The sequence below is a fragment of the Homo sapiens genome, chromosome 12, assembly GCF_000001405.40.
Source record: "Homo sapiens chromosome 12, GRCh38.p14 Primary Assembly".
Lineage (NCBI taxonomy): Eukaryota > Metazoa > Chordata > Mammalia > Primates > Hominidae > Homo > Homo sapiens.
In genome coordinates, this window is record NC_000012.12 from 29,396,627 (window position 1) to 29,424,177 (window position 27,551).

The 27,551-nt window shown below is 38.2% G+C and overlaps 1 protein-coding gene and 1 long non-coding RNA gene across 5 annotated transcripts in view; one reads left to right on the forward strand and one right to left on the reverse strand.

The window, feature by feature from the left end:
* OVCH1-AS1 (OVCH1 antisense RNA 1) overlaps nucleotides 1-27,551 on the forward strand; it is a 98,031-nt gene that overhangs the window by 7,333 nt on the left and 63,147 nt on the right. The window lies entirely within an intron of this gene.
* OVCH1 (ovochymase 1) overlaps nucleotides 5,542-27,551 on the reverse strand; it is a 95,519-nt gene continuing 73,509 nt past the window's right edge. For both annotated transcript variants that reach the window (XM_024448968.2, XM_047428780.1), the window contains 4 exons: nucleotides 26,501-26,672; nucleotides 16,004-16,099; nucleotides 15,750-15,918; nucleotides 5,542-7,708 (listed from right to left, as the gene is read on the reverse strand). In XM_024448968.2, the coding sequence (XP_024304736.1) occupies nucleotides 26,572-26,672 (101 nt within the window). In that variant the 3' untranslated portion in view covers nucleotides 5,542-7,708; nucleotides 15,750-15,918; nucleotides 16,004-16,099; nucleotides 26,501-26,571. The remainder of the gene's footprint in view (nucleotides 7,709-15,749; nucleotides 15,919-16,003; nucleotides 16,100-26,500; nucleotides 26,673-27,551) is intronic.

The window sequence follows — 27,551 nt, forward strand, 5'->3', positions numbered from 1 at the left end:
CCTTAGGCCCTCTGGATAATGTAGAACTGTCTACCAGCCCTAAATTTCCGGCAGCTAGACTTAGTTTAGGTAAGAGAATTACCTCCTAAATCCTTCAAGCTATTGTAGTCAGTTAAAGAGTTAACCAGCCATCAGCAGCCAGTTCTTAATGGAGTCAAGGAAATTTGTACAATTTTAAAGCTCTCTGAAAACAGAATCTCCTTGTTACATACACATCTTATTTTTACCTCCGTACATTTTCATTCACATGTTTTAAGTGTGTGAATGAACCCCGCCCAATTACAATCTTTGCATGCCTCTAGTCCTGTCTCCCCAGTCAAAACTCCATACTTTGTTTCCTGTGTCATCCTCTGAGAACTTTTATCAGCAGCGTGGTATGGTGACTAACATCAGCAGTCAAACAAACCTATGTGCTAATTCTGCTCTGAAACCAGCTGTTTGATATCAAACAAGTCACTCAACCTCTCTGAGCTTCTATCTCCTCATTGGTAAAATAAAAATGATAATGACTTTCTCATACAGTTGTGCTTGGAATTAATATTTGTAAAGTAGTCGGCACATTGAAAGCTATGGGATAGCCAAATGGAAGATCCTCACTCCCCAATTAAATCCTTAATTGGAATTATGAGAACAATTATTTTGTAAAAATTGGAGACATAAGAAAGAATTGGAAAGAAATACTATATGCTTGTATAGCAAAGCTTAATATATTACAATAAATCTTTCTCCAAGTAACATAAGACAGACACAGCCTCTGCTTCCCATACAGGTTTATTGCCAGGTTTTGACTACCTTCAAATATCATAGTCTAATCAGAAGTTACTCATGTTAATAAAAACTTCTGTTAGAGTGAAACTAAGTAAAAATTCTATACCTATTCCTTTAAAAACCTTTACTGATTAATAAATTTCATACCTATAAGATTCTCCCATTGTAAGTCTTCAATTCAATGATTTTTAGTAAATTTATAGTTATGCAGTCACCATAATTCAAATTTAGAACATTTCTATCACCCCCATTTTATTTCCTGCTCTCACTGAAACCCTAAGTAATTACTATTCTGCTTTCTTTGTAAATTTTTCTTTTTATACATTTAAGTGGAATCAATATTTGTAGGCTTCTTTCACTTGACATAATTTTGTGGCACATTTATATTTTGTAAAGATTTTTTAACTTTTTTTTTTTTAAATTGAGACGCAGTCTCACTCTGTTTCCCAGGCTGGAGTGCAGTGGCATGATCTCAGCTCACTGCAACCTCTGCCTCCCAGGTGCAAGCCACTCTCCTGCCTCAGCCTCCTGAGTAGGTGGGATTACAGGCACCTACCACCACGCCAGGCTAACTTTTGATTTTTAGTAGAAACAGGGTTTCACCATGTTAGCCAGGCTGGTCTCGAACTCCTGACCCCAAGTGATCCACCCGCGTCGGCCTCCCAAAGTGCTGGGATTATAAGGGTGAGCCACCTCGCCCGGGATTATAAGCATGAGCCACCGCGTCCAGCCTTAACTATTTTTTTTTTTTTTTGTTCAGAAACATTTTAAAGGACTCAAACGGGAAGAAGAACCTCTTTAAAAGCTTCATTTTAGGAAAATACATAAGATAATAGATACAATTTATTGGAAGTTTACTAGGTGCCAACTATCATTTATGTGATTTAAATGTAGAAACTCCTTTATCTTCAGAATATCCCTATGAGTAGATGTATTACCTCCACTTTATAGATGAAGAAACAGAAGTACAATGAGGCTAATTTTCCCAAAGTTATAACACTACTTAATGGTGGAACTGGGATCTGAACCCAAGGACTCTGACTTCAGAACCCAATACTCATAATCCCTGTGTCCCAAGGTTATTAACGGCATATTCAAAATATTTGAATGAGATTAGTTTTAATGAATAAATGAGCTAAATGGAAAGGTCAAGTAATATCTCACTCCTGGAAGACATACAAACACATTTAAAACTGTTTTCTCATACAAGAAAGTAGATGGTAGAAAGTGTAACTGCTAATGTTAACAACTAGGCTCATTGTTACAAATGACATCAGTAACCACAAGTCACAGTGACACTGTGGGCTTTCTAGGCATAGGGAACTGAAAAGAATGTAAGGGCTTACTGAGGAACTTCTAAATACCTAGACAGGAGGAGAACAGTTTCCAACCTGAGGAGCTAGTGTTGTTAAAAGGGGCTTTAAGTATTTCATATCGTGTAGTATTTTATATTTGCAAATATATGTAAATTATGGAACAAGATAATAAATATCTGTGAGACCACCATCCAGCGTAACTAGAAGTGGATAGCATTGCAATGGCTCCTGTGTGACTCTTCCAGCTTATTCCACTACCTCCCCACAGCTCTGGTGTGATAGCATTGCCTTGCCTTTTTAAACCTAAACAAACGATTTAATTTTACCTGTTTCTGAGCTTCATGTGGTGCCTAATTTTCTAAACTTGGTTTTTAAACTCAACGTTGTTGGTTTTTAAACTCAACATTGTTTCTAAGATTCACTAAAGAGCCTGTGGACTGTTGTATTTTACTGCCATGCAAGCATTATACTATTTTGTTTATACCATCTCCTGTAATAGACATTTGTAATTCCAACTTTTTGTTGGTGTTTCTGTAAACATGCCTGTACATATCCAATGGTCCACGGTTACATCACTTTCCTGTGGGACACAGGTCTCAAACCTGGCTGCATATTAGAATCACATAAGGAGTTTGTTAAATTATTCTTCATGCCCCAGATACATACATTTGATTTTATCCATGGCTGAAGACAATGCTGTAGGGTATATACCTAGAGATGAACTTGTTGACTGAGAAGACACTGTTATTTTCAACTTTACTGATATTGTCTGAGTTTTCCAAAGCTGGAGTACCTAATTATACTTTCCCACCAGCAGTGAGAAGAGTTCCTCTTACTCCATATTCTCATTATCTGTTGATATTGTCACCCTATGCATTTTGTTTGCCAAGTTAAACAATTAAAATGGCATTGCTGACTCCTTCGGTATTGTTTTATTGGTCTGTTTATTTTTCTCTGCAGCAATACCACCCTTTCTTTTTTTTCTTTTTTTTTTTTTTTTTTTTGAGACAGAGTCTTGCTCTGTCAGCCAGGCTGGAGTGCAGTGGCACGATCTCCGCTCACTGCAAGCTCCACCTCCCGGGTTCGCGCCATTCTCCCACCTCAGCCTCCCAAGTAGCTGGGACTACAGGGGCCCACAACCACTCCCGGCTAAATTTTTGTATTTTTAGTAGAGACGGGGTTTCACCGTCCTAGCCAGGATGGTCTCGATCTCCTGACCTCGTGATCCACCTGCCTCGGTCTCCCAAAGCGCTGAGATTACAGGTGTGAGCCACCATGCCCAGCCCCACCCTTTCTTAATCACTGTAGTTTTACTTTCTTTTATTATAATCCTTCTATTTTCTTCTGCCTCTGTCAGAGTTTCTTAGTAACTTTGGACCTAGCAGTTGTTTTTGTTGCCATTATTTAATAATTTGGTTAAAATTTACTCTCATACATACCAGTGGGAAATAGAAAAACACAAGTGCTAATATTATGAATAATAAAGTTGAGACAAAGATGCAATCAAGAGATGGGCCAACATTGTTAATCTTCAGCGAGAATAAGATACTTACTAGACTTAAGTTGTTGACTGTTTGTTAAATTGACAAGGAAAGTGTGAAATGTTGGCACTACATCATTGAAACACATATCAGAAAGAAAAGGTGAAGGGTTAGAGGAAATGAAGTAATGTAATTTATGACTTAAGAATGAACAAAAAAATTTTCCAATGATCCATGTGACAGGAGAAACTCACACTATGTGGAGTTGTTGATAGGGAAATAGCTTGTTACATAAGAGATGGTGTATAAAACATAAATACTAAACTAAACCAAGTCAACTATTATTTAAACCTTAAAACTCAGCTCAAATATTACATTCACTTATTCCTGCAGAAAACAGTAGTTGTTCCTGCCTAGGCTGCTGGCTTCTATAGCATGTTGAATAGTAGTTATCTTCATGTATTGTTTTTCTCTATTATAATGAGATTCTACAGATGAAAGCTTTCTCTTTCTAGGTGTCTCTGTCTGGCACACAGTAGGTGGTCAAGAAGGATTTTTAAAAATACATGAATAAAAATCAGGTTATGAGTTCTCTAAGTTCTTTAAATTTGGCCATGTAACCCTTACATCATAGATAAATTTACACAGTTGATGGCAACGAAATACATAGAGAGCTTCACATTGAAACACAAAACGGAGCCAGGCATGGTGGCTCACTTTGGGAGGCTGAGGTGGACAGATCACGAGGTCAGGAGTTCGAGACCAGCCTGGCCAACATGGAGAAACCCCATCTCTACTAAAAATACAAAATTAGCTGGGCATAGTAGCGGGTGCCTGTAACCCCAGCTACTCAGGAGGCTGAGGCAGGAGAATCGTTTGAACCCAGGAGGCGGAGGTTGCAGTGAGCTGAGATCATGCCATTGCACTCCAGCCTGGGCGACAGGGCAAGACTCTGTCTCAAAAAAAAAAAAAAAAAAAAAAGAATTACAAAAGAGAGAGTGGTTCTTGGAAAGAAGGCCAAAGAAAGAAAGAAAGCTTATGCGCCCTCCTCAATTAAATTGGCTTTCAACTAGAGGAAAAGTAAAACAGCTCTAACACAGTAGGTCCTATTAAAGATTGAATATGGAAGAACTCTAAAATTATAGCCAAACAGAAGCCAAAAACAGAACACCAAATAGCCTGTGACTCTCTTAGGGAAATCAGGTGGCTACTCTGGGTCAAACAGGGGGTGCTAACCTTGCACCCTTTGCTGAAGGACCTTGAGAGCATCATCCTCTAGGGGCTCAGAAAACAATGCCCCAAAATGAAGGCCTCAGAAGCAAACATTTCCTGACCTTGTCCTGCTCTCCAATTTTTCAGTCCCATTCTCCCCCATAGATAGCCATAGAAACTAGGATCCCTCTTCCCCAGGGTAGGTCATAGAAATCAGAACCCATTTTGCCAAAGTCAGCCATAAAACCTAAAAATATTACTCTAACTTCCTGCTGCTCCAGCCTTTCTGTGTAAAAACTTGCCATAAAGAAATTATCTGACTTACCTTGTTTGACTGTAGGTCATCAGACCCCCATTTCAGAGAGAGAACTGCCTCATACCAGTAGGAAAAAATGCATGCTTAGAGAGCCAAGAGAATAGAGACAGACAAGCCTCACTGGGTTTCCCCACTCAGTCTGCCAGCATTAAATCATACACTTTTTGTCAAATCATATCTCTACATGGCTCTCTGTACTAAGCATAAAAATGGACAATTTCTCCTGTATCGTCTCATGTGTATACATGTTAAACAAATTTGTATGACATTTCTGCAATTAATCTGCCTTTTAGGGTCCATTTTTCAGTAAACCTTCAGACTTGGCCCCTACTACACCCAAATCACCACCCAGGGAAGTCACAATAGCGATTGTGTCAGCAACAAAATTAATGGCCAGCAGATCAAAGTGTGAGGGGAAAAAAAAGAAAAAAAAAGCTTTAGACAGGCCTGACATTTCATACAATACAACTTTAATCCCCTTTAATATCATCTAATAAAAAGAAGAGATCCACAAAAGACAAAGTAAAAATGGTACAAAACAGATTAACATGAGAATTAGAGAATCCCTATTGCAAATCTCATCTTTCATTTTTCCTCAGTGTTCCTATCCAAAAGTATAACTTAATGAAAGCAGAACCTTTAGACCAATATTCATGTGAGGGTTTTTAGTAAATACTAGGACATTTATAATACTTTCTCATTGTAGCATTTGCAAAGGAAAGGAAAGGTTGAGAGAAAAAGAGAGGAGTTGGGCAGAGGGTTGAGAGAAAGAGGGAAAAGAGAAAGACAGAAAAGGTTGGTAAGAAAAGGAAAGGGAAGGGGAAGGGAGGTTGGTTGAAAGAGAAAGATGGAGGGCATTGAGAAAGAAGGATTGAGAGAGGGAAGGAGGATGAGAATTTGGAAGAGTATAAGAGATTGGGGAGAGGGAGAAAAGAAAGGAGAAGAGGGAGGTTGTTAATTGAAAAAAAAGTAGAGGGATTGAGAAAGAAAAAGTGATTAACAGAGGTGAAAAGGGAGAGATGGATTGAGAAGTTGAAAGAGTGTAAGAAGTCCAGAGAGATGGGGTTAGGGAGGGGGAATGTAAAAGGGAACAGGAGGTGGGGAAGAGAGAGAAAAGAGGTTGAAGGAAAGGAAGAGAGGTTAAAAGAGAAAGAGAGTGAGAAAAGAGGGAAGTTTTATTTTCTAATACCATTACAGAAATATTTTGTGCTCATATTTGACTTCCAACTTTTAAATCAAGGTTCATTAGACAAAGATTATTAACCAGTTTCAATGAAGCCTCAGTTACCTCCAGCCTTAAATACAGACAGAAATATTTGGGAAACATACCATTTTGTTCGAGAGTTAAGGATTCCTAATTTAAGTATATAAGCTTTTTGACTTTAATTTTGAAGAGCAAAATTTTCATAATGTGGATGTACTAAAGCTAACATCTTGATGTATTATTGTAATTACAATTATTAGGCTGAATCATATAAAGTAGCTAATTTTCAAACTTTTTAATCTACAGAAATGGCAGCTTAATAATTCAAACTTTTATAATTTAATCACAATATTGAGTTCTATAGGAAAGAAATCCTGAATATTATGCTTTTCAAAGTTGTTTGAATATATATATGTAAATTTTCTATTTCCTTATGAATTGCTGTGTCATTTGATAATCAATGTGTTTACCTAAAGCTGAACCATACGCCCTTTTGGAATGCTGCATTCTTAGAAACCAAATGATACATTTTGGTGCAATGTGTAAAATAAGAAAAAAAAGTTGCCTCAGGCTCCTATTCATTTTATATTGCAGATTTCTGTGACAGACTTTGGCATCTAGACTTCTGGCTCAGGGACCTTCCTCAGTTCCTCCCTGATTCTTGGCTACAGCTTAGAGGGGTAGGGGGATTGAGACAACCTGAGTCTCAGATAAATTAAATACCTTATAAACAAATGAAATATCCTAAAATGTTAAGGTCAATTGACGTGCCTGATAAATAATCTCTTAAATGTCCACTGCTCATCACAATTGTGAAACTGGCAGGGACCTTTCCTATCTATTTGTGCTCACAGCAGTTTCTGGCCTGTATCCCTGTGAGTAAAGTTAAGAATTATATGGATTTAATAATATTGCCCTTCTGATCTTCCAGTGTTTGCCAAAGTAGAAAAAAACAGTACAATTGTATATAATGGTATTCAAAATATACAGCATACACATGGTATGCAAGATATGAATTGAATGATTCAAACTGTAAGTTCCCAGGAGGCATGAAACAACATTAACTTTCTGTGACCAATGTTTAATATTGAATGTACAAACACACCAACACCAACCTCTGCAATGATAATGATGGGCGGAAGTGACACTGAATATTTCAGCACTGAAAAGACATTCATTTTTCAGGTGTACTGTTATGCATTTCTTTTCCCATTTGTAATCACAGTTGTACCACACTGCTCTTTCAGTGATCTCACTTCTCCTCTAGTGGCAGATGTGATCCAATCCCTGCAGGCAGAAATTCTTGTGAAGGTGGTGCAGTGGGATGGCAGTGACTGCTGCCTCAGCTCACAATGTCAACAAGCTTGTACTTCCCATGCCGGGCACATTGCGGTGGTCTTCCAGAATCTCCCTGCAACCAGCAAAAAGAGAAGTTCTCCCAAATGCCTGATTCCTGGCCGACATTAACCCCAACTGCAGAGGATGGTCAGGCAGGGCACAGGTTGTTCTCTTTATCTCGCTGATTTCTGCTCACAACCTAATAGAAAACTATGGCCACTCAGGTAGTGGGCTGATGCAACAGATCTCTGAACTGGATTAAAATCTATACCTTCAAGGAGAGACTGAAAGATAAGTTAGTGTAAATTCACTTAATGCTGACTGTAGACTCTGCCATGAAGAAACTTTCAAGCATCTATATAAATGGCCAGGTGATGGTTTTCAGTGACATGAAAACTCCTTTATGTTTTCAGTGTTACTAGAAGTAGGTGCATTAAGCCACCTAATTCAGCTATGCAGCTGAATCATAAGAAATGATCAGCCGGGCGCGGTGGGTCACGCCTGTAATTCCAGCACTTTGGGAGGCTGAGGCAGGCGAACCACGAGGTCAGAAGTTCGAGACCAGTCTGGCCAACATAGGGAAACCCCGTTGCTACTAAAAATGCAAAAAATTAGCTGGGTGTGGTGGTGTGTGCCTGTAATTCCAGCTACTCGGGACGCTGAGGCAGGAGAATCACGTGAACCCAGGAGGCGGAGGTTGCAGTGAGCTGAGATGGCACCATTGTACTCCAGCCCAGGAGATAGTGCAACACTCCACCTCAAAAAAAAAAAAAAAAAAAAAAAAAAAAAAAAAAACAAAAGAAATGATCATGTTTGTAGGTCAAAAACCATTGAATATCAGCAATTACACATAATTCATCCAAGTATTGACTAATTCCTTTTGAGAACTGAGTTCACTTCAACTATCAAATTACTAATTACGGTTCATTTGTTTTTAAGGTAACTTAACAATGTATTTATTCTTCTTGCCTTTCTTTTTAAAACTACCATGCATCTATACCTCTTTATGAATCAGCAAATGCCAGTTTGTGAGACATACTAAAAAGAAAACTCCCAGACTCATCAATGCAATCCTTGAATTACCATGCAGGAAGATGATCCTGCAGCTCTTCTGAATATATTGGTGTTTTTAAATATCCATACCCTGGTAGCTTTGCCAAGAGGTACCTTTGCCTGTTATACCATGTTAGAAAATTCATCCTCTAGCACAAAAAGAATAAAAATACATATAAACCTAGGCAAATGCTTTTAAAGGCTAAAACACGGATTGCAGACTCTTAGGGGTAAATCCCACCATTTTTCTCTCTGACGCTGTAATGATGTTGTTAGGTGATTTGTAAAGACCTAATATTATTCTACTTTAGCTTATACAACAGAAACTCCAAAAACTATTTTGTATGGATTCTTTTTATCTTCACTACGGTTCTAGGATGAGAGAAAAATAATATCACTTCATAGAAGGAAAAAGTTTAGAACCAAATCAGTTTTTGATGATGCAATCAGTACAATTCATTTTTAAATGTTAAGCCTATACTTGATTCCCTTGGTTTCATTGTGATCTCATTCTTTTGACTTGACTTTGCCGAATAAACATAATGTTTAGAGGTTGACAATGGAAACGACATTCTGATTTACTCTAGTCTATTGGATATTTGTAACTTGTTAACTCAGTTGTACAATACAGTAGGAGTGAAACCAAACTCATGGGTTGACCTTCACATGGGCTAGTTATTTTCACATAATCTTTTCCACCCATTTACCATTCATACCAATCCATCATTTCAGAAAAATGCCTCACATCATTAGAAATTGGCTGATACCTTCAAGTATGAGTTTTCACTGTTATAAAAACAATTGTGTATGTGTGTCTGAGTTTGTGTATGTTTAGAGTACAATTGGAGAGTAATTACATAGAAATGAGACTTACAAATATTAGGTAATAAAATCACTAGATATTCTTCAATACATGTTTTTATAAGTATCAATAAACTGGTATTCATGAATATAATGACCTAAAACCCAGGAAGTCACCTTTATTTTATTTATTTATTTATTTTTATTATTATACTTTAAGTTTTAGGGTACATGTGCACAATGTGCAGGTTAATTACATACGTATACATGTGCCATGCTGCTGCGCTGCACCCACTAACTTGTCATCTAGCATTAGGTATATCTCCCAATGCTATCCCTCCCCTCCAACCCCACAACAGTCCCCAGAGTGTGATGTTCCCCTTCCTGTGTCCATATGTTCTCATTGTTCAGTTCCCACCTATGAGTGAGAATATACGGTGTTTGGTTTTTTGTTCTTGTGATAGTTTACTGAGAATGATGATTTCCAGTTTCATCCATGTCCCTACAAAGGACATGAACTCATCATTTTTTATGGCTGCATAGTATTCCATGGTGTATATGTGCCACATTTTCTTAATCCAGTCTATCATTGTTGGACATTTGGGTTGGTTCCAAGTCTTTGCTATTGTGAATAGTGCCGCAATAAACATACGTGTGCATGTGTCTTTATAGCAGCATGATTTATAGTCCTTTGGGTATATACCCAGTAATGGGATGGCTGGGTCAAATGGTATTTCTAGTTCTAGATCCCTGAGGAATCGCCACACTGACTTCCACAATGGTTGAACTAGTTTACAGTCCCACCAACAGTGTAAAAGTGTTCCTATTTCTCCACATCCTCTCCAGCACCTGTTGTTTCCTGACTTTTTAATGATTGCCATTCTAACTGGTGTGAGATGGTATCTCGTTGTGGTTTTGATTTGCGTTTCTCTGATGGCCAGTGATGATGAGTATTTTTTCATGTGTTTTTTGGCTGCATAAATGTCTTCTTTTGAGAAGTGTCTGTTCATGTCCTTCGCCCACTTCTTGATGGGGTTGTTTGTTTTTTTCTTGTAAATTTGTTTGAGTTCATTGTAGATTCTGGATATTAGCCCTTTGTCAGATGAGTAGGTTGCGAAAATTTTCTCCCATTTTGTGGGTTGCCTGTTCACTCTGATGGTAGTTTCTTTCGCTGTGCAGAAGCTCTTTAGTTTAATTAGATCCCATTCGTCAATTTTGGCTTTTGTTGCCATTGCTTTTGGTGTTTCAGACATGAAGTCCTTGCCCATGCCTATGTACTGAATGGTATTGCCTAGGTTTTCTTCTAGGGTTTTTATGGTTTTAGCTCTAATGTGTAAGTCTTTAATCCATCTTGAATTAATTTTTGTATAAGGTGTAAGGAAGGGATCCAGTTTCAGCTTTCTCCATATGGCTAGCCAGTTTTCCCAGCACCATTTATTAAATAGGGAATCCGTTCCCCATTGCTTGTTTTTGTCAGGTTTGTCAAAGATCAGATAGTTGTAGATATGCAGCATTGTTTCTGAGGGCTCTGTTCTGTTCCATTGGTCTCTATCTCTGTTTTGGTGCCAGTACCATGCTGTTTTGGTTACTGTAGCCTTGTAGTATAGTTTGAAGTCAGGTAGTGTGATGCCTCCAGCTTTGTTCTTTTGGTTTAGGATTGACTTGGCTATGCGGGCTCTTTTTTGGTTCCATATGAACTTTAAAGTAGTTTTTTCCAATTCTGTGAAGAAAGTCATTAGTAGCTTGATGGGGATGGCATTGAATCTATAAATTACCTTGGGCAGTGTGGCCATTTTCAAGATATTGATTCTTCCTACCCATGAGCATGGAATGTTCTTCCATTTGTTTGTATCCTCTTTTATTTCCTTGAGCAGTGGTTTGTAGTTCTCCTTGAAGAGGTCCTTCACATCCCTTGTAAGTTGGATTCCTAGGTATTTTATTCTCTTTAAAGCAGTTGTGAATGGGAGTTCACTCATGATTTGGCTCTCTGTTTGTCTGTTATTGGTGTATAAGAATGCTTGTGATTTTTGTACATTGATTTTGTATCCTGAGACTTTGCTGAAGTTGCTTATCAGCTTAAGGAGATTTTGGGCTGAGACAATGGGGTTTTCTAGATATACAATCATGTTGTCTGCAAACAGGGACAATTTGACTTCCTCTTTTCCTAATTGAATACCCTTTATTTCCTTCTCCTACCTAATTGCCCTGGCCAGAACTTCCAACACTGTGTTGAATAGGAGTGGTGAGAGAGGACATCCCTGTCTTGTGCCAGTTTTCAAAGGGAATGCTTCCAGTTTTTGCCCATTCAGTATGATATTGGCTGTGGGTTTGTCATAGATAGCTCTTATTATTTTGAGATACATCCCATCAATACCTAATTTATTGAGAGTTTTTAGCATGAAGGGTTGTTGAATTTTGTCAAAGGCCTTTTCTGCATCTATTGAGATAATCATGTGGTTTTTGTCTTTGGTTCTGTTTATATGCTGGATTACATTTATTGATTTGCATATATTGAACCAGCCTTGCATCCCAGGGATGAAGCCCACTTGATCATGGTGGATAAGCTTTTTGATGTGCTGCTGGATTCGGTTTGCCAGTATTTTATTGAGGATTTTTGCATCAATGTTCATCAAGGATATTGGTCTAAAATTCTCTTTTTTTGTTGTGTCTCTGCCAGGCTTTGGTATCAGGATGATGCTGGCCTCATAACATGAGTTAGGGAGGATTCCCTCTTTTTCTATTGATTGGAATAGTTTCAGAAGGAATGGTACCAGTTCCTCCTTGTACCTCCAGTAGAATTTGGCTGTGAATCCATCTGGTCCTGGACTCTTTTTGGTTGGTAAGCTATTGATTATTGCCACAATTTCAGCTCCTGTTATTGGTCTATTCAGAGATTCAACTTCTTCCTGGTTTAGTCTTGGGAGAGTGTATGTGTCGAGGAATTTATCCATTTCTTCTAAATTTTCTAGTTTATTTGCGTAGAGGTGTTTGTAGTAATCTCTGATGGTAGTTTGTATTTCTGTGGGATCCGTGGTGATATCCCCTTTATCATTTTTTATTGCGTCTATTTGATTCTTCTCTCTTTTTTCTTTATTAGTCTTGCTAGCGGTCTATCAAATTTGTTGATCCTTTCAAAAAACCAGCTCCTGGATTCATTAATGTTTTGAAGGGTTTTTTGTGTTTCTATTTCCTTCAGTTCTGCTCTATTTTTAGTTATTTCTTGCCTTCTGCTAGCTTTTGAATGTATTTGCTCTTACTTTTCTAGTTCTTTTAATTGTGATGTTAGGGTGTCAATTTTGGATCTTTCCTGCTTTCTCTTGTGGGCATTTAGTGCTATAAATTTCCCTCTACACACTGCTTTGAATGTGTCCCAGAGATTCTGGTATGTTGTGTCTTTGTTCTCATTGGTTTCAGAGAACATCTTTATTTCTGCCTTCATTTCGTTATGTACCCAGTAGTCATTCAGGAGCAGGTTGTTCAGTTTCTCTGTAGTTGAGTGGTTTTGAGTGAGTTTCTTAATCCTGAGTTCTAGTTTGATTGCACTGTGGTCTGAGAGAGAGTTTGTTATAATTTCTGTTCCTTTACATTTGCTGAGGAGAGCTTTACTTCCAATTATGTTGTCAATTTTGGAATAGGTGTGGTGTGGTGCTGAAAAAAATGTATATTCTGTTGATTTGGGGTGGAGAGTTCTGTAGATGTCTATGAGGTCTGCTTGGTGCAGAGCTGAGTTCAATTCCTGGGTATCCTTGTCAACTTTCTGTCTCATCGATCTGTCTACTGTTGACAGTGGGGTGTTAAAGTCTCCCATTATTGGTGTGTGGGAGTCTAAGTTTCTTTGTAGGTCACTCAGGACTTGCTTTATGAATCTGGGTGCTCCTGTATTGGGTGCGTATATATTTAGGGCAATTAGCTCTTCTTGTTGAATTGATCCCTTTACCATTATGTAATGGCCTTTTTTGTCTCTTTTGATCTTTGTTGGTTTAAAGTCTGTTTTATCAGAGACTAGGATTGCAACCCCTGCCTTTTTTTGTTTTCCATTTGCTTGGTAGATCTTCCTCCATCCCTTTATTTTTGAGCCTATGTGTGTCTCTGCGTGTGAGATGGGTTTCCTGAATACAGCACACTGATGGGTCTTGACTCTTTATCCAATTTGCCAGTCTTTGTCTTTTAATTGGAGCATTTAGTCCATTTATATTTAAAGTTAATATTTTTATGTGTGAATTTGATCCTGTCATTATGATGTTAGCTGGTTATTTTGCTCGTTAGTTGATGCAGTTTCTTCCTAGTCTTGATGGTCTTTACATTTTGGCATGATTTTGCAGCGGCTGATACCGGTTGTTCCTTTCCATGTTTAGTGCTTCCTTCAGGAGCTCTTTTAGGTCAGGGCTGGTGGTGACAAAATCTGTCAGCATTTGCTTGTCTGTAAAGTATTTTATTTCTCCTTCACTCATGAAGCTTAGTTTGGCTGGATATGAAATTTCTGGGTTGAAAGTTCTTTTCTTTAAGAATGTTGAATATTGGCCCCCACTCTCTTCTGGCTTGTAGAGTTTCTGCCGAGAGATCATCTGTTAGTCTGATGGGCTTCCCTTTGTGGGTAACCCGACCTTTCTCTCTGGCTGCCCTTAACATTTTTTCCTTCATTCCAACTTTGGTGAATCTGACAATTATGTTTCTTGGAGTTGCTCTTCTTGAGGAGTATCTTTGTGGTGTTCTCTGTATTTCCTGAATCTGAATGTTGGCCTGCGTTGCTAGATTGGGGAAGTTCTCCTGGATAATATCCTGCAGAGTGTTTTCCATCTTGGTTCCATTCTCCCCGTCACCTTCAGGTACACCAATCAGACATAGATTTGGTCTTTTCACATAGTCCCATATTTCTTGGAGGCTTAGTTTTTTTTATTCTTTTTTCTCTAAACTTCCCGTCTCACTTCATTTCATTCATTTCATCTTCCATCGCTGATACCCTTTCTTCCAGTTGATCGCATCAGCTCCTGAGGCTTCTGCATTCTTCCCGTAGTTCTCGAGCCTTGGCTTTCAGCTCCGTCAGCTCCTTTAAGCAATTCTCTGTATTGGTTATTCTAGTTATACATTCGTCTAAATTTTTTTCAAAGTTTTTAACTTCTTTGCCTTTGGTTTGAATTTCCTCCTGTAGCTCGTAGTTTGAGCATCTGAAGCCTTCTACTCTCAACTCGTCAAAGTCATTCTCCATCCAGCTTCGTTCCATTGCTGGTGAGGAACTGCGTTCCTTTGGAGGAGGAGAGGTGCTCTGCTTTTTAGAGTTTCCAGTTTTTCTGCTCTGTTTTTTCCCCATCTTTGTGGTTTTATCTACTTTTGGTCTTTGATGATGGGGATGTACAGATGGGTTTTTGGTGTGGATGTCCTTTCCGTTTGTTAGTTTTCCTTCTAACAGACAGGACTCTCAGCTGCAGGTCTGTTGGAGCTTGCTAGAGGTCCACTCCAGACCCTGTTTGCCTGGGTATCAGCAGCGGTGTTTGCAGAACAGCGGTTTTTCGTGAACCGTAAATTCTGCTGTCTGATCGTTCCTCTGGAAGTTTTGTCTCAGAGGAGTACCCGGCCGTGTGAAGTGTCAGTCTGCCCCTACTGGGGGGTGCCTCCTAGTTAGGCTGCTCAGGGGTCAGAGGTCAGGGACCCACTTGAGGAGGCAGTCTGCCTGTTCTCAGATATCCAGCTGCATGCTGGGAGAACCACTGCTCTCTTCAAAGCTGCCAGACAGGGACATTTCAGTCTGCAGAGGTTACTGCTGTCTTTTTGTTTGTCTGTGCCCTGCCCCCAGAGGTGGAGCCTACAGAGGCAGGCAGGCCTCCTTGAGCTGTGTTGGGCTCCACCCAGTTCAAGCTTCCCCGCTGCTTTATTTACCTAAGCAAGCCTGGGCAATGGCGGGCACCCCTCCCCCAGCCTCTCTGCCGCCTTGCTGTTTGATCTCAGACTGCTGTGCTAGCAATCAGCGAGACTCCATGGGCGTAGGACCCTCTGAGCCAGGTGCGGGATATAATCTCCTGGTGCGCCGTTTTTTAAGCCCGTTGGAAAAGCGCAGTACTTGGGCAGGAGTGACCCGATTTTCCAGGTGCCTTCTTTCACCCCTTTCTTTGACTAGAAAAGGGAACTCCCTGACTCCTTGCACTTCCCGAGTGAGGCAATGCCTCACTCTGCTTCGGCTCACGCACGGTGAGCTGCGCACGGTGAGCTGCACCCACTGACCCGCGCCCACTGTCTGGCACTCCCTAGTGAGATGAACCCGGTACCTCAGATGGAAATGCAGAAATCACCCGTCTTCTGCGTCACTCACGCTGGGAGCTGTAGACTGGAGCTGTTCCTATTCGGCCATCTTGGCTCCTCCCCAGGAAGTCACCTTTAGATCCATTATTTTAAAAGACTTTTCCCACCATTATTCGTATTAAAAATAGAGAAAAACTGAAAGTGAACAAACAGAGTACACTTAGATGTCACATATATTTGTTTGGATTCTAACATTGGAGGAGGTGGTACATATACTCACTGTGAAGTTCAGTTGTTCCCCATCCAGCAGTCATACATGTAAAGTCAATTTATTTTATCATCTTCCTCTGGCACCAGATTAGTAGTGAAAACTCTCCTAATTAAAAAGGACGTTAAAGAAAAAGGTAAATATCATTTAATCTATAGGATTGATGTTAATATTGTCTATGTTGTTTGCTCTTCAGTGACAGCTCTAGAAATAGCTACTTTGACTTAACAGTAACCCCTACTCTTTTGGAAACAAAGTCTCACGCTGTCATCCAGACTAGAGTGCAGTAGTGCAGTAGTAGCTCACTGTAGACTCTAACTCCTGGCTCAAATGATCCTGCCTCCTCCTAAGCCTACTAACTAACTAGTATAATACTACTGGCATGCACTATCACATCCAGCTAATTCTTTTTTTTTTTTTTTCTTTTGGAGATGAGATCTTGCCATTTTGCCTGAGCTGGTCTCAAACTCCTGGCCTCAAATGATCCTTTTGCCTCAGCCTCCCAAAGTGTTGAGATTATAGGTGTGAGCCCTGCACCTGGCAAACATTACTTTTTTAAATGCTGTGATTAAGTCTTCCAGAAAATACTATCTATTACTCAAAAGGGATCAGCCCAATTTATATGTTACCAGTTTGCTCCAGGTATTACCATATCCTCCCACGACAATAGGAACATATGCCCTACACTCAGATGTGAAGCTCTTGGTTTCTCATCCATAATCATTTTTTAAAAATACATCTGCCCTTTTTCCATGTGCCTCTAGGACATCACCTTGTTGAATCTGAAATGACAGTGGAGAAAATATAACTCTCTTCCTTCTTTGACTTCATCATGTGAGGAATGGGGAAGAATCACATTTGCAGTACTTTAAACTTTTCAAGTATTTTTATATCTAATACATATTTTTATATTTATTCTTTCTTCCCAGATGTATCATAAAATATATTGATATATTATGTATTTAAACATTCACATTTTTATCTTATCACCAAAATGTGTTTATATATAAACAATGTGCATTTATGTATGTGTCTGTGTGTATTACACACATACACACACACACACACACACATTGGTTTTCCCATGCTGTTTTATTATATTTTGATTTAGACGTTTACATACTTTAATGCTTCAGCCTATCTGCTATCCTGGATCATTTATTTCAATGATTTGTTCTTTTATTTTTACTGTTCTTAAAAAAATTGTATAAACTCTTTGAAGTATAAATTATTTTCCTTCTCACCTGCCTATGCACATCCAAATCTTTTACGTTATGCTGCCTTTGCAGATAATCATTGCTCTATCATTTCACTTTCTGCCAAATTTTCTTGAGCTAAACCGTTTTCCCTCTGCCAACATATGTTTTTTAACCAGCAGCTGGCTTTTCTCCTCTCTCTCTCTCTTTTTTTTTTTTTTTTTTTTTTGGAGTATTGCTCTGTCACCCAGGCTGGAGTGTAGTGGCACAATCTCGGCTGACTGCAACCTCTACCTCCACCTTCCAGGTTCAAGTGATTCTCCTGCCTCAGTCTCCCGAGTAGCTGGGATTACAGGAGCCCACCATTATGCCCTGCTAATTTTTGTATTTTTAGTATAGATGGTGTTTCACCATGTTGGCCAGGCTGGTCTTGAACTCCTGACCTCAGGTGATCCACCCCCCTCAGCCTCCCAAAGTGCTGGGATTACAGGCATAAGAGTGTCCAGCCTGCCAACTGCTTTTCTTATTCTGATTTTTTTCATTTACCAGATTATGATCACATCAACTCATATCATTCAGTTAATGAATGTATCACAATTGATTAAATCCCACTGATGAACATTTAGACTATTTTCTGTTTTTTGCTTAAGAGCTGCAGCAAGCATTCCAGAAAATAAATCTGTGCAGTTGTGCCATTATTCCTGGAAAGTAGAATTGCTGGGCCATGAAGCATGTACTTTAAAAACTAGCAACTATTGCTACATTGCCTGACTTTTGAAAAGACAAAAAAGGATGTATCAACTTACAGTCCACCCAACTATGTTTATAATTTAGAACTATGTCAAGAATCTTTAAAATATTTTTACCCTAAATCTAGCAATTCTACTTCTGGGAAGTTTATTTTAAGGCAATCCTAGACCTGGAAAAAAAAAATATATATACAAGGATAGTCAATCCAGCATTATTAAAATTTTTTTAAAAAGGAAACAATCCATTTTCATATGAATTGTGGAAAGGCTACCATGTATCCATTAAAATTAATTATATTTTAAAAGTCTTTAATATTATGAAGCAATGCTGACAATCATAAATGAAAATATACAATAAAATAAAACTTACAATAGGTATATTATTACAACTACTTAAATACAAACGACTAGTACAGGAAATACATGAAAGAAGTATGCCCAAATATTCACATAAAGGTAATGATGCTGGAAATTACAGGTGGGAAGTGTCTTGTCTTTAATGGGAAAAAAGTCATCTCTCACTCTTCCCAGTGGAAAGAAATGAATAGGTACAGTTATAGATAAGTTACTAAATTCTTAGAGGGAAGAGAAACAAAATCTTATGTTACTGTTGGTATCAGGTGGTGTTAAGTAGGAAGCACAGTCCTCGGAGAACAGGAAAAAGGATCAAGATAAGAAAGTAAGGAAAGAAGGGCTGAAAAGAAGGGGGAACGTTTGTAATGACGACTGTGGATATTAGAAGACAGAATCATGCAGGCATACACCCAAGGATTGCTAAATGGTATTGAAATTGGAAACCACAAGATTTTAAGGGCACTAAATATCACCACTGGTCTTTGTCTAAAAGAATGCTTCTTAACCTTGGCTGCACATTAAAATTTCCACGAGAAATTTATAAAATACCACTGCTAGGTTCAGGAAGGACCAGGATATAAGGTCAACACAAAGAAGTCAATCACATTTCATGTTGAACCCTAACAAAATACCATTTACAACCACAATGAAGACAATGCAATACTTAGGTATACACTTAGCAAAACAGGTACAAGATCTGTATGCTGAAAATTGCAAAATTCTGGAGATGGAAATCAAAGAAGATCTAAATAAGTGGAGAGACATATTGTTCATGGATTGGAAGACTCATATAGTAAATATGTGAATTCTCCCCAAACTGAGCTATAGCTTTAATGCAATTTCTATCAAAATCACAGCAAGGGCTGTTGTAGACATAGCAAGCTTATTTTAAAATTTATACGAGAAAGCACAGACCTTAGCATATCTAAAACAATCTTCACCAAGAATAAATTGGAAGAAATCACTTTTCCATATAAAGCCTACTATGTAGGTACAATAATATGTAGTAGTATGTGAAAGGATAGAAACATAGCTCAACAAAAAAAAAGATCCCAGAAATAAACCTACACAAATATGCTCACTTTATTTATGGCAAAGGCACAAAAGCAATTCAACAGATGGTGTTAGAGCAACTGGCTATCCCTTAGACCACAAAAAAAGCAAAAAAAAAAGGAAAAAGGAAAGGATAGAGAGAAAAAGAGAGAAAGGAACTTCAACCTAAACCTTACACATTATACAAAAATTAACTGGAAAGGATCATGAAATTAAATGTAAAAGTGTAAGGCTAAGGCTATAGAACTTTTAGGAAGAGCAAAGGAAAAAATCTAGGGATGGACAAAGAATACTTAGACTTGACACCAAAAGGAGAAGCTTTTTTTTTTGAACGGAGCAATTGGACTTCATCTAAATTAAAAGTTTTGCCTTGTGAAAGACTCTGTTAAGAGGATGAAGAGACAAGCTAAGACTGGGAGGAACATCTGCAAACCATGTATTTGACAAAGGATTAGTGGCTAGAATATATAAAGAATCCTCAAACTCCGCACAGTAAGAAAACAATTCAATTGGAAAATAGGCTAAAGATATGAAGGGGCTTGTCACTGAAGAGGTTAAAAAATATTAAGTAAGTAAATGAAACATTGTTAGATACCATTAGCCATTAGGCAAATACAATAAGATATCACTACCACTACACACCTATCAGAATGGCTAACATTTTTTTAAAAAAGAATGACAATGGCAAATGCTAGTGAGGATGCAGAAAAACTAGGTCACTCACACATTGCTGGTGGGAATATAAAATGGTAAAACTACCATGGAAAAACAGCTTAGTTTATTACAAAACTAAACATGCAATTTCCATATAACCCAGAAATTACACTCTTGGACATTTATCCCACCAAAATGAAAACACATGTCCACACAAAAACTTGTACACAAATTTCCACAGGAGCTGTATTTGTAATAGCCCAGAGCTGGAAACAACCTAGATATGCTTTGACAGAAGAACCATTAAACAAACTGTGGTACATTCATACCATGGAATGCTATTCATGTATTAAAAGGAATGAACTATCAAAAGGAAAGAACTATTGAACAAGCACAGTACAACTTGGATAAATCTCCAGGGGACTGTGCTGAGTGGAAAAAGTCAATCCCAAAAGGTTACATACTATGCAGCTCCATTGATTAAATACTCTTGAAATAACAAAATTCTAGAAATAGAGAATAGATTAGTGGTTGCCAGGGATCTGGGAAAGGGTGAAGTGGGTTTTGCTATAAAAGAGCAACACTTTGAGAGGCCAAGGCGGGTGGATCACCTGAGGTCAGGAGTTCGAGACCAACCTGACAAACCTGACCAATATGGTGAAACCCCATCTCTACTAAAAATACAAAAACTTAGCCAGGCATGGTGGCATGCACCTGTAGTCTCAGCTACTCGGGAGGCTGAGACAGGAGAATTGCTTGAACCCTGGAGGTAGAGGTTGCAGTGAGCCAAGATTGTGCCACTGCACTCCAGCCTGGGTGACAGAAACACTCCGTCTCAAAAAAAAAAAAAAAAAAAAAAAAGGCAACACTAGGAATCCTTGGGGTGATTGATAGAAATGTTCTATATCTTGATTGTATCAATATCCTATAAGATATTATCAGTGGGGGAAACTAGGTAAAGAGTATATTGGGTGCCTGTACTATTTCTTAAACTGCATGTAAATCTAAAATTATTTCAATATAAGTTTAATTAACATCAAATGCATAAAGCAAGATAAGGAGGGGGTAAATGCTGATGCCAACTCTCTATCCCTGAGATTGTGACTTAATTTGTCCAAAATGCAACCTGGCCTACAAGTGTGTGTGTGTGTGTGTGTGTGTGTGTGTGTGTCTGTGTCTGTGTGTGTTTTAAGCAACCCAGAGATTACACTGTACAGCCAAGATTAAGAAGCACTGTTCTAAACGTTCTTGCTGACTTGGTTATAAAAGAACAGAAAGCAAATGATGGGCTATGATTAATGGTTTGCAGGATGGAAGCATTGAAAAGACAGCAAAAGGGAGGTGAAGCTACTGGCAGAGGAACAGTTAAAGAATGTAGAAACTGGTTACAGACCCCTGTGTGTCCATGGAAAGGCATGGGCTTGAGAGTGGAGAAGTCTTAGTTACAGTTCCCGCAGTATGTTTTCTCACTGAATGTTCACCTGTGCTAAGTAGGTGGGCAGGGTACTGTTATTCCTTTCTATTAATAATAAAGCTGAGGCACAGGAAAGCTAAATAACCTGCCCAAGATTGCATGACTACTACATGACAGAGCCAGAGTAACAATTCCTCACCCAGTTTTCACATTAGCTTTAGTTTCAGTAACCATTAAGCAAGAAGAGGATTTTACTAGGTCATGAAAGTATAGAAAATTGAACATCTCATGCTTCAAATTCCTAAGTATTTGGAGTAACTTCATAGGAAAAGAATCAAAATTAAAAATTAATTTCTTTGAAATCTTCTGTAGACCTCCATCAATTAAAAACCCATGAAAGTATGTGTTTATACAGATACTTCAACTTTTAGAGAAAGTGGCATAAATATAAGGAAGTTTTGAAATAATTATTTAACTTCAGAAGTATGTGTAGCACTTCTCAGCAAGATGAAAGATATTAAGCTGTATGGCAAAGGTTCAAAATATAGAAGAGTTACCCATACAGACCAAATTCAATACGTTTTTCCAGATGCAACAGTATAGATCATCATGAGGACAAAACTGTGAAAAGCCAAGGTGAGTATAGAGAGGTTTCACTGGTATCAAATCACTGCTTCCCATGTTCCAGAGGTAACTTCTTTCTGTTACCAGGTTGTCTGTGACAGTATTTGTCATAAGGGAGTGAGGAAATAGACATTTCTTTTAATGAGGTCATAGTCATTTTTCATAATTACTAAAAATATATTATTTTACATTTCTCTTTGTTCTTTTTAGAATTAGAGATATGGTATTGCACTATCACCAATCTGGAGTACACAGGTATAATCATAGCTCACTGCAGCCTCAAACTCTGGGCTCACGTGATTCTGTCTTCAGCCTCCTGATTTGCTGGGACTACAAGCCCACACCACTATGCCCAGCTAATTTTTTTTAGTTTTTTGTAGAGATGGAGGTCTTACTATGTTGCCCAGGCTGATCTCAAACTCCCAGCCCAAAGTGATCCTCATGTCTTCATTTCCCAAAGTGCTAGGATTACAGGTGTGAACCACCATGCCCAGTCTACATTTCTAATCTATATTAAAAATTTTATTGTCTTGAATTCTTGGAAAATAGGGATTTCTCTTAATAACTTTAATCCCTGAGAAAAATTTTAATGTATATATTTTCTTTCCTCCATAATACTAAACAAAGTATGATTTTTTTTTTTTGAGATGGAATCTCATTCTGTCACCCAGGCTGGAGTGCAGTGGCACAATTTGGGATCACTGCAAGCTCCGCCTCCCAGGTTCATGCCATTCTCCTGCCTCAGCCTCCCGAGTAGCTGGGACTACAGGTGCCCGCCACCATGCCCGGCTAATTTTTTTTTTTTTTAATTTTTAGTAGAGACAGGGTTTCACCGTGTTAGCCAGGATGGTCTCGATCTCCTGACCTCATGATCCACCTGCCTTGGCCTCTCGAAGTGCTGGGATTACAGGCATGAGCCACTGCGCCTGGCCAACGAAATATGATTTTTAAGATGCATGATGCCTCAAGATAATGATTCTGTGCATTATTACAATTATAATAATAGATGTTATACACTTATATAATGGCCTCTGAAAGATATTCTGAAAGTTATATTTACTCCCTGTAAAATGGTTTTCAAAGAAGTGTCTAGGAACTATGCATTAAGTCTGGCATTGCCTTAAAAATTTAGAATCTGATGTAACTCATCAAATCAAAACTCAAAATTATGATTCTAAAATTTGATTGCAAACTCCCCAAACAGTTTTGAACACATGAAAGTCTGAAAATTGCCTTATAAGGATGACTTCTTGAGATTTACCTATTCAAGAGTAAAGTTGGGGGATGATAAAGAAAATGAGGTTTTGATTCACTGAAGGGTCCTGCTCACCAAGTTATTTGAGCAGATAGAAGGAACTGCTACTTTGAAGACACTGAAAACATTATATTTAATCATTTGGCTATGGGACATCATGTGATGTTCTCAACCATCTCACTACTTCTGGGAGACCAATATTAGAAATATCAGAATTTTAGTACTGAGCAACCTTTAAACTGAGGAAGGAATTTTCAGATAATGTCTCAATATCACATGGAAACAAGATTCAGATGAAATCAAAGAAAAAATTTTCTTTCCAAGAGCATTCTTTAAAATTTTTCAGAACTTTCTATATTTATTTTGGGAGCAGGTATGATGATCAGTCAGTAGAGGAGAGCAAGGAGGAAGGAGACCCACCGTTTAGCAACTCCAGTGCTCTAGGTGATATGTTCAGAAGCTGATGCACACATGTTAAGACATCATTATCTCCATTTTATAGATGAGGAAAGAGAGGGCAGCATTGTTAGTCACTTATTTTAAAAAGAGCTGGAAGGAAAAAGCAGCTTTTTTTTTTTTTTTTTTTTTTTTTTTTTTTTTTTTTTTTTTTTTGAGACGGAGTCTCGCTCTGTCGCCCAGGCCGGACTGCGGACTGCAGTGGCGCAATCTCGGCTCACTGCAAGCTCCGCTTCCCGGGTTCACGCCATTCTCCTGCCTCAGCCTCCCGAGTAGCTGGGACTACAGGCGCCCGCCACCGCGCCCGGCTAATTTTTTGTATTTTTAGTAGAGACGGGTTTCACCTTGTTAGCCAGGATGGTCTCGATCTCCTGACCTCATGATCCACCCGCCTCGGCCTCCCAAAGTGCTGGGATTACAGGCGTGAGCCACCGCGCCCGGCCAAAAGCAGCTTTTAAAATGAAAAACTATTAGTGGTATGTGTATTGTTGAAGGACAGAAAGTTTCATTCACCTAATATGTTCATTGATTTGCAAGGTGAAGACTATATCAGCGGGAGCATAAACTTTAATGTTTCTTGTGACATAGGGAGAGCAGATGGGTACACCCATTGTGAGCCCTTGAACAAGCAGTCTCAGAGACCCTGCACCACAGGCACAGGCACAGACCTAAAGTTAGAATGCACTGCTGCCAGGACCCACTGTTTTGTGGCCAGGGAGCCTCTATAATAATGTTGTCTGGGTGCTGCAGACTAACTAGCCAGGGCCATGACATTGCAGATGCAGCACAGCTACCAACCAACCTAGGCTCTCCAAGCATGGCTGGCAGCACATTTGTATTTCTGTCCGAATTTTCCATTCGAAATTGGTCAACAGCTGGAATGCTACGTTTGTCTTGGGTTGGCCAACTTCCTGTATTGTTTTCTATTGTTATCCCTTAGAAAAGTAATAACAAAACATTATATAAAAGTAATTATAAAAGTCTATTAAAATTTCAGAATGGAGGCATTTCTTAGGTTCAAAACTAGGATTCTGATCAAGAGATGAGACTTACCTTTTCTTGCACTGCTTTTAAAATAAGAAGATCAATAAAGTTAACTAAAATATTAATATATGCATCTTTAGGATACTCAAAACATAAAACTGATTTTTAAAATAAAAATATTGCATCTAATCATGAAATTATTGGTCATTGTTCTTTCTGTGGCATTATTTGTGTTATTCCAGTGTAACAGATATCTAGACTTATCAAAACACTTTACACTACACGTATTCAAAATACAACATATATATAAAGAACACATATAAGGAAAATTTCCAGCACTGTGTTTATTCCATTCTCAAATTTAAAAAGAAATTCTCCAGGAAATAATTTTAGTAACTAAAAACCAAGAGATGTTTTTAAGTATGAATTTTCTTAAATATACACAAAAATTTGAGAATTAGGATATGTGCTTATTTATATAATTATTTACTGGAGATTTCTATTTCATACCAGACATGTATTTAAAACAAAAAGTTTCTAGCACAGTGGATTTGTGTTGTTTATTCAATATTATGTTAAAACTCATTTCTACTTCCTTTTCAGATATGTATAAAACATCAATTCTCTTCTCCTTTTAAATATATATGCCAAAATCATGCAAACTCCTCAAAAGACTATCCAAGATCTTAGGAAAAAAAGTTGTTTACTCAAAACTGTTTTCACTGCATTAAGGTTTAAGGGTGGATTTTAATCCACATTATATGCTCAGTCTTAGACCTTTGGGCTGTTTGTACACATGTGTAACAGCAATATTTTATTAGTATCCAACCTGCAAAAAAGGAAGACTTAAAGAAATGAGGCAATAGAAATATTTTTACTGTGAGAATGAAGGGTCAATTTAGAGATGAAATATGGAAGGATAAAAGCAATGGAGACAGAAAGGTCAATTAGATGAGCATCCCTTAAACTATTCAAAGTCTCACCTACAGAATGATGAGGCTCAAATCAAGGACTCTTCAAAGAGCCCATTCATTCCCCTGTCTTAAAAAAGACAAAGTGATGTCAAGAAGGACATTTCACTGAAGGTTGGTCATTAGAATTCCACCTGAATTACACTCTAATCAAGAGGACCTCCTACTAACAAATTAATTAGGTTTTTAATTGATGGTATGTGTATTGTTGAAGGACAGAAAGTTTCATTCACCTAATATGTTCATTCATTTGCAAGATGAAGACTATATCAGTGGGAGCATAAACTAACAAATTAATTAGGTTTTTAAATCTTAAGCACAACTGATGAAATTATGGCTTAAAAGTAGATTGGATAAGTAGAAAATCATTAAGTTTGTTTCTATTTTATTCAGAGAAGTTAGTACATGTTCAGCTAATCTATTCTCTTCTGGGAACTTTATGAGGGTGAGGGGTAGCTACTTGGTAGAAGAGATATGGTAAGAGAGACATGGAAATACAATGAACTCTGTTTTGGCTTGAATGTCCCCACTGGGTCATTTAAATAGCAAATGACTGACTTTCGTGTTTATCATTATTTCTTAAAAATAATAAACGCACATACACAAATTAACTTTATTACCTCAGATGATTCATTTGGAACTACCAGTATTATGCCTTAAGGAATGGTTTGAAATGAAGATATCCTTTTCTTTTTTTAGTAGGGAGACTACTAGTGACCCTTAAACCAATGGGCTGCAGGTTCTACTTCAAAGCTTATGCAGTATCTGCTTTAATAAACATTTTAATGCAATTACTTACCACTGATAGGAAATTGGGTCTCAATATTGCTCTTCTGTGATTGCTCCTGAATCATCTCTTCTAAAATAAGCTTAAAACCTCTTTCTCTCAGACTCATCAGTCTTAAAATGCACAGTCAGGTAAGCAGCACTGGATATCAAGATAAACTCTTTCTTGGAGCCATGTAAATGAGCTGCAATGAAAGACATATTCGATAATTAAAGTACTTTTTCTGTGCAATGACATAACTGAAAGAGGACAAAGAGGTAACATTAAATTCCAAACTGTTGATATTAACAAAAGAATGATTGTCAGGAATACAAGATCAAGATTTGTAGGATGGAACTCATGATTTGAGTGCCACAATGGAAGAGTATAGCTTTTAAAAGATCAAAGGGAAAGACCTGATAGAAAAAATGGTACACACTTGTATGGCAATCTGTTATCCTAAGGATGGGAGGAAAAAAGGGCATTTGCGCGAAGATAACTAGACAGAGACACAAAAGTAATGGGACAATCTGCTCTAAAACACAATAATGATTCTTTTAAAATTCAGAAACACAGAAGTTGGCACAAAGGTGGTCCTGATAGTAACAGGACATTTGCTGTACATTTAAGTTCTCCTAAAATAAAACAATGAAACACTATTGATTTGTCTTCATGATAACGGTATCTCAGAAATCCGAGAAAGAAAGGAGGGGAGTAGTTAATCTCTACATCGTCCTTATCCTCAAAGCAGCTCTATCTGGTGGAATGGAAGTGATGGGGAACCTTGGAGATGCTTTCATGTCAAGTAAAGGGGTTCTGGGTAGAACCAACAAATAACCTGGAAGTTTTAAAATAATGGAAATGGGAAAATGCCGAGACCAGCTCGGTCGGGGAGACCCTAACCCAGCAGCGCTAGAGGAATTAAAGACACACACACACAGAAATATAGAGGTGTGGCGTGGGAAATCAGGGGTCTCACAGCCTTCAGAGCTGAGAGCCTCAAACAGAGATTTACTCACGTATTTATTAACAGCAAGCCAGTGATAAGCATTGTTTCTATAGATTATAGATTAACTAAAAGTAT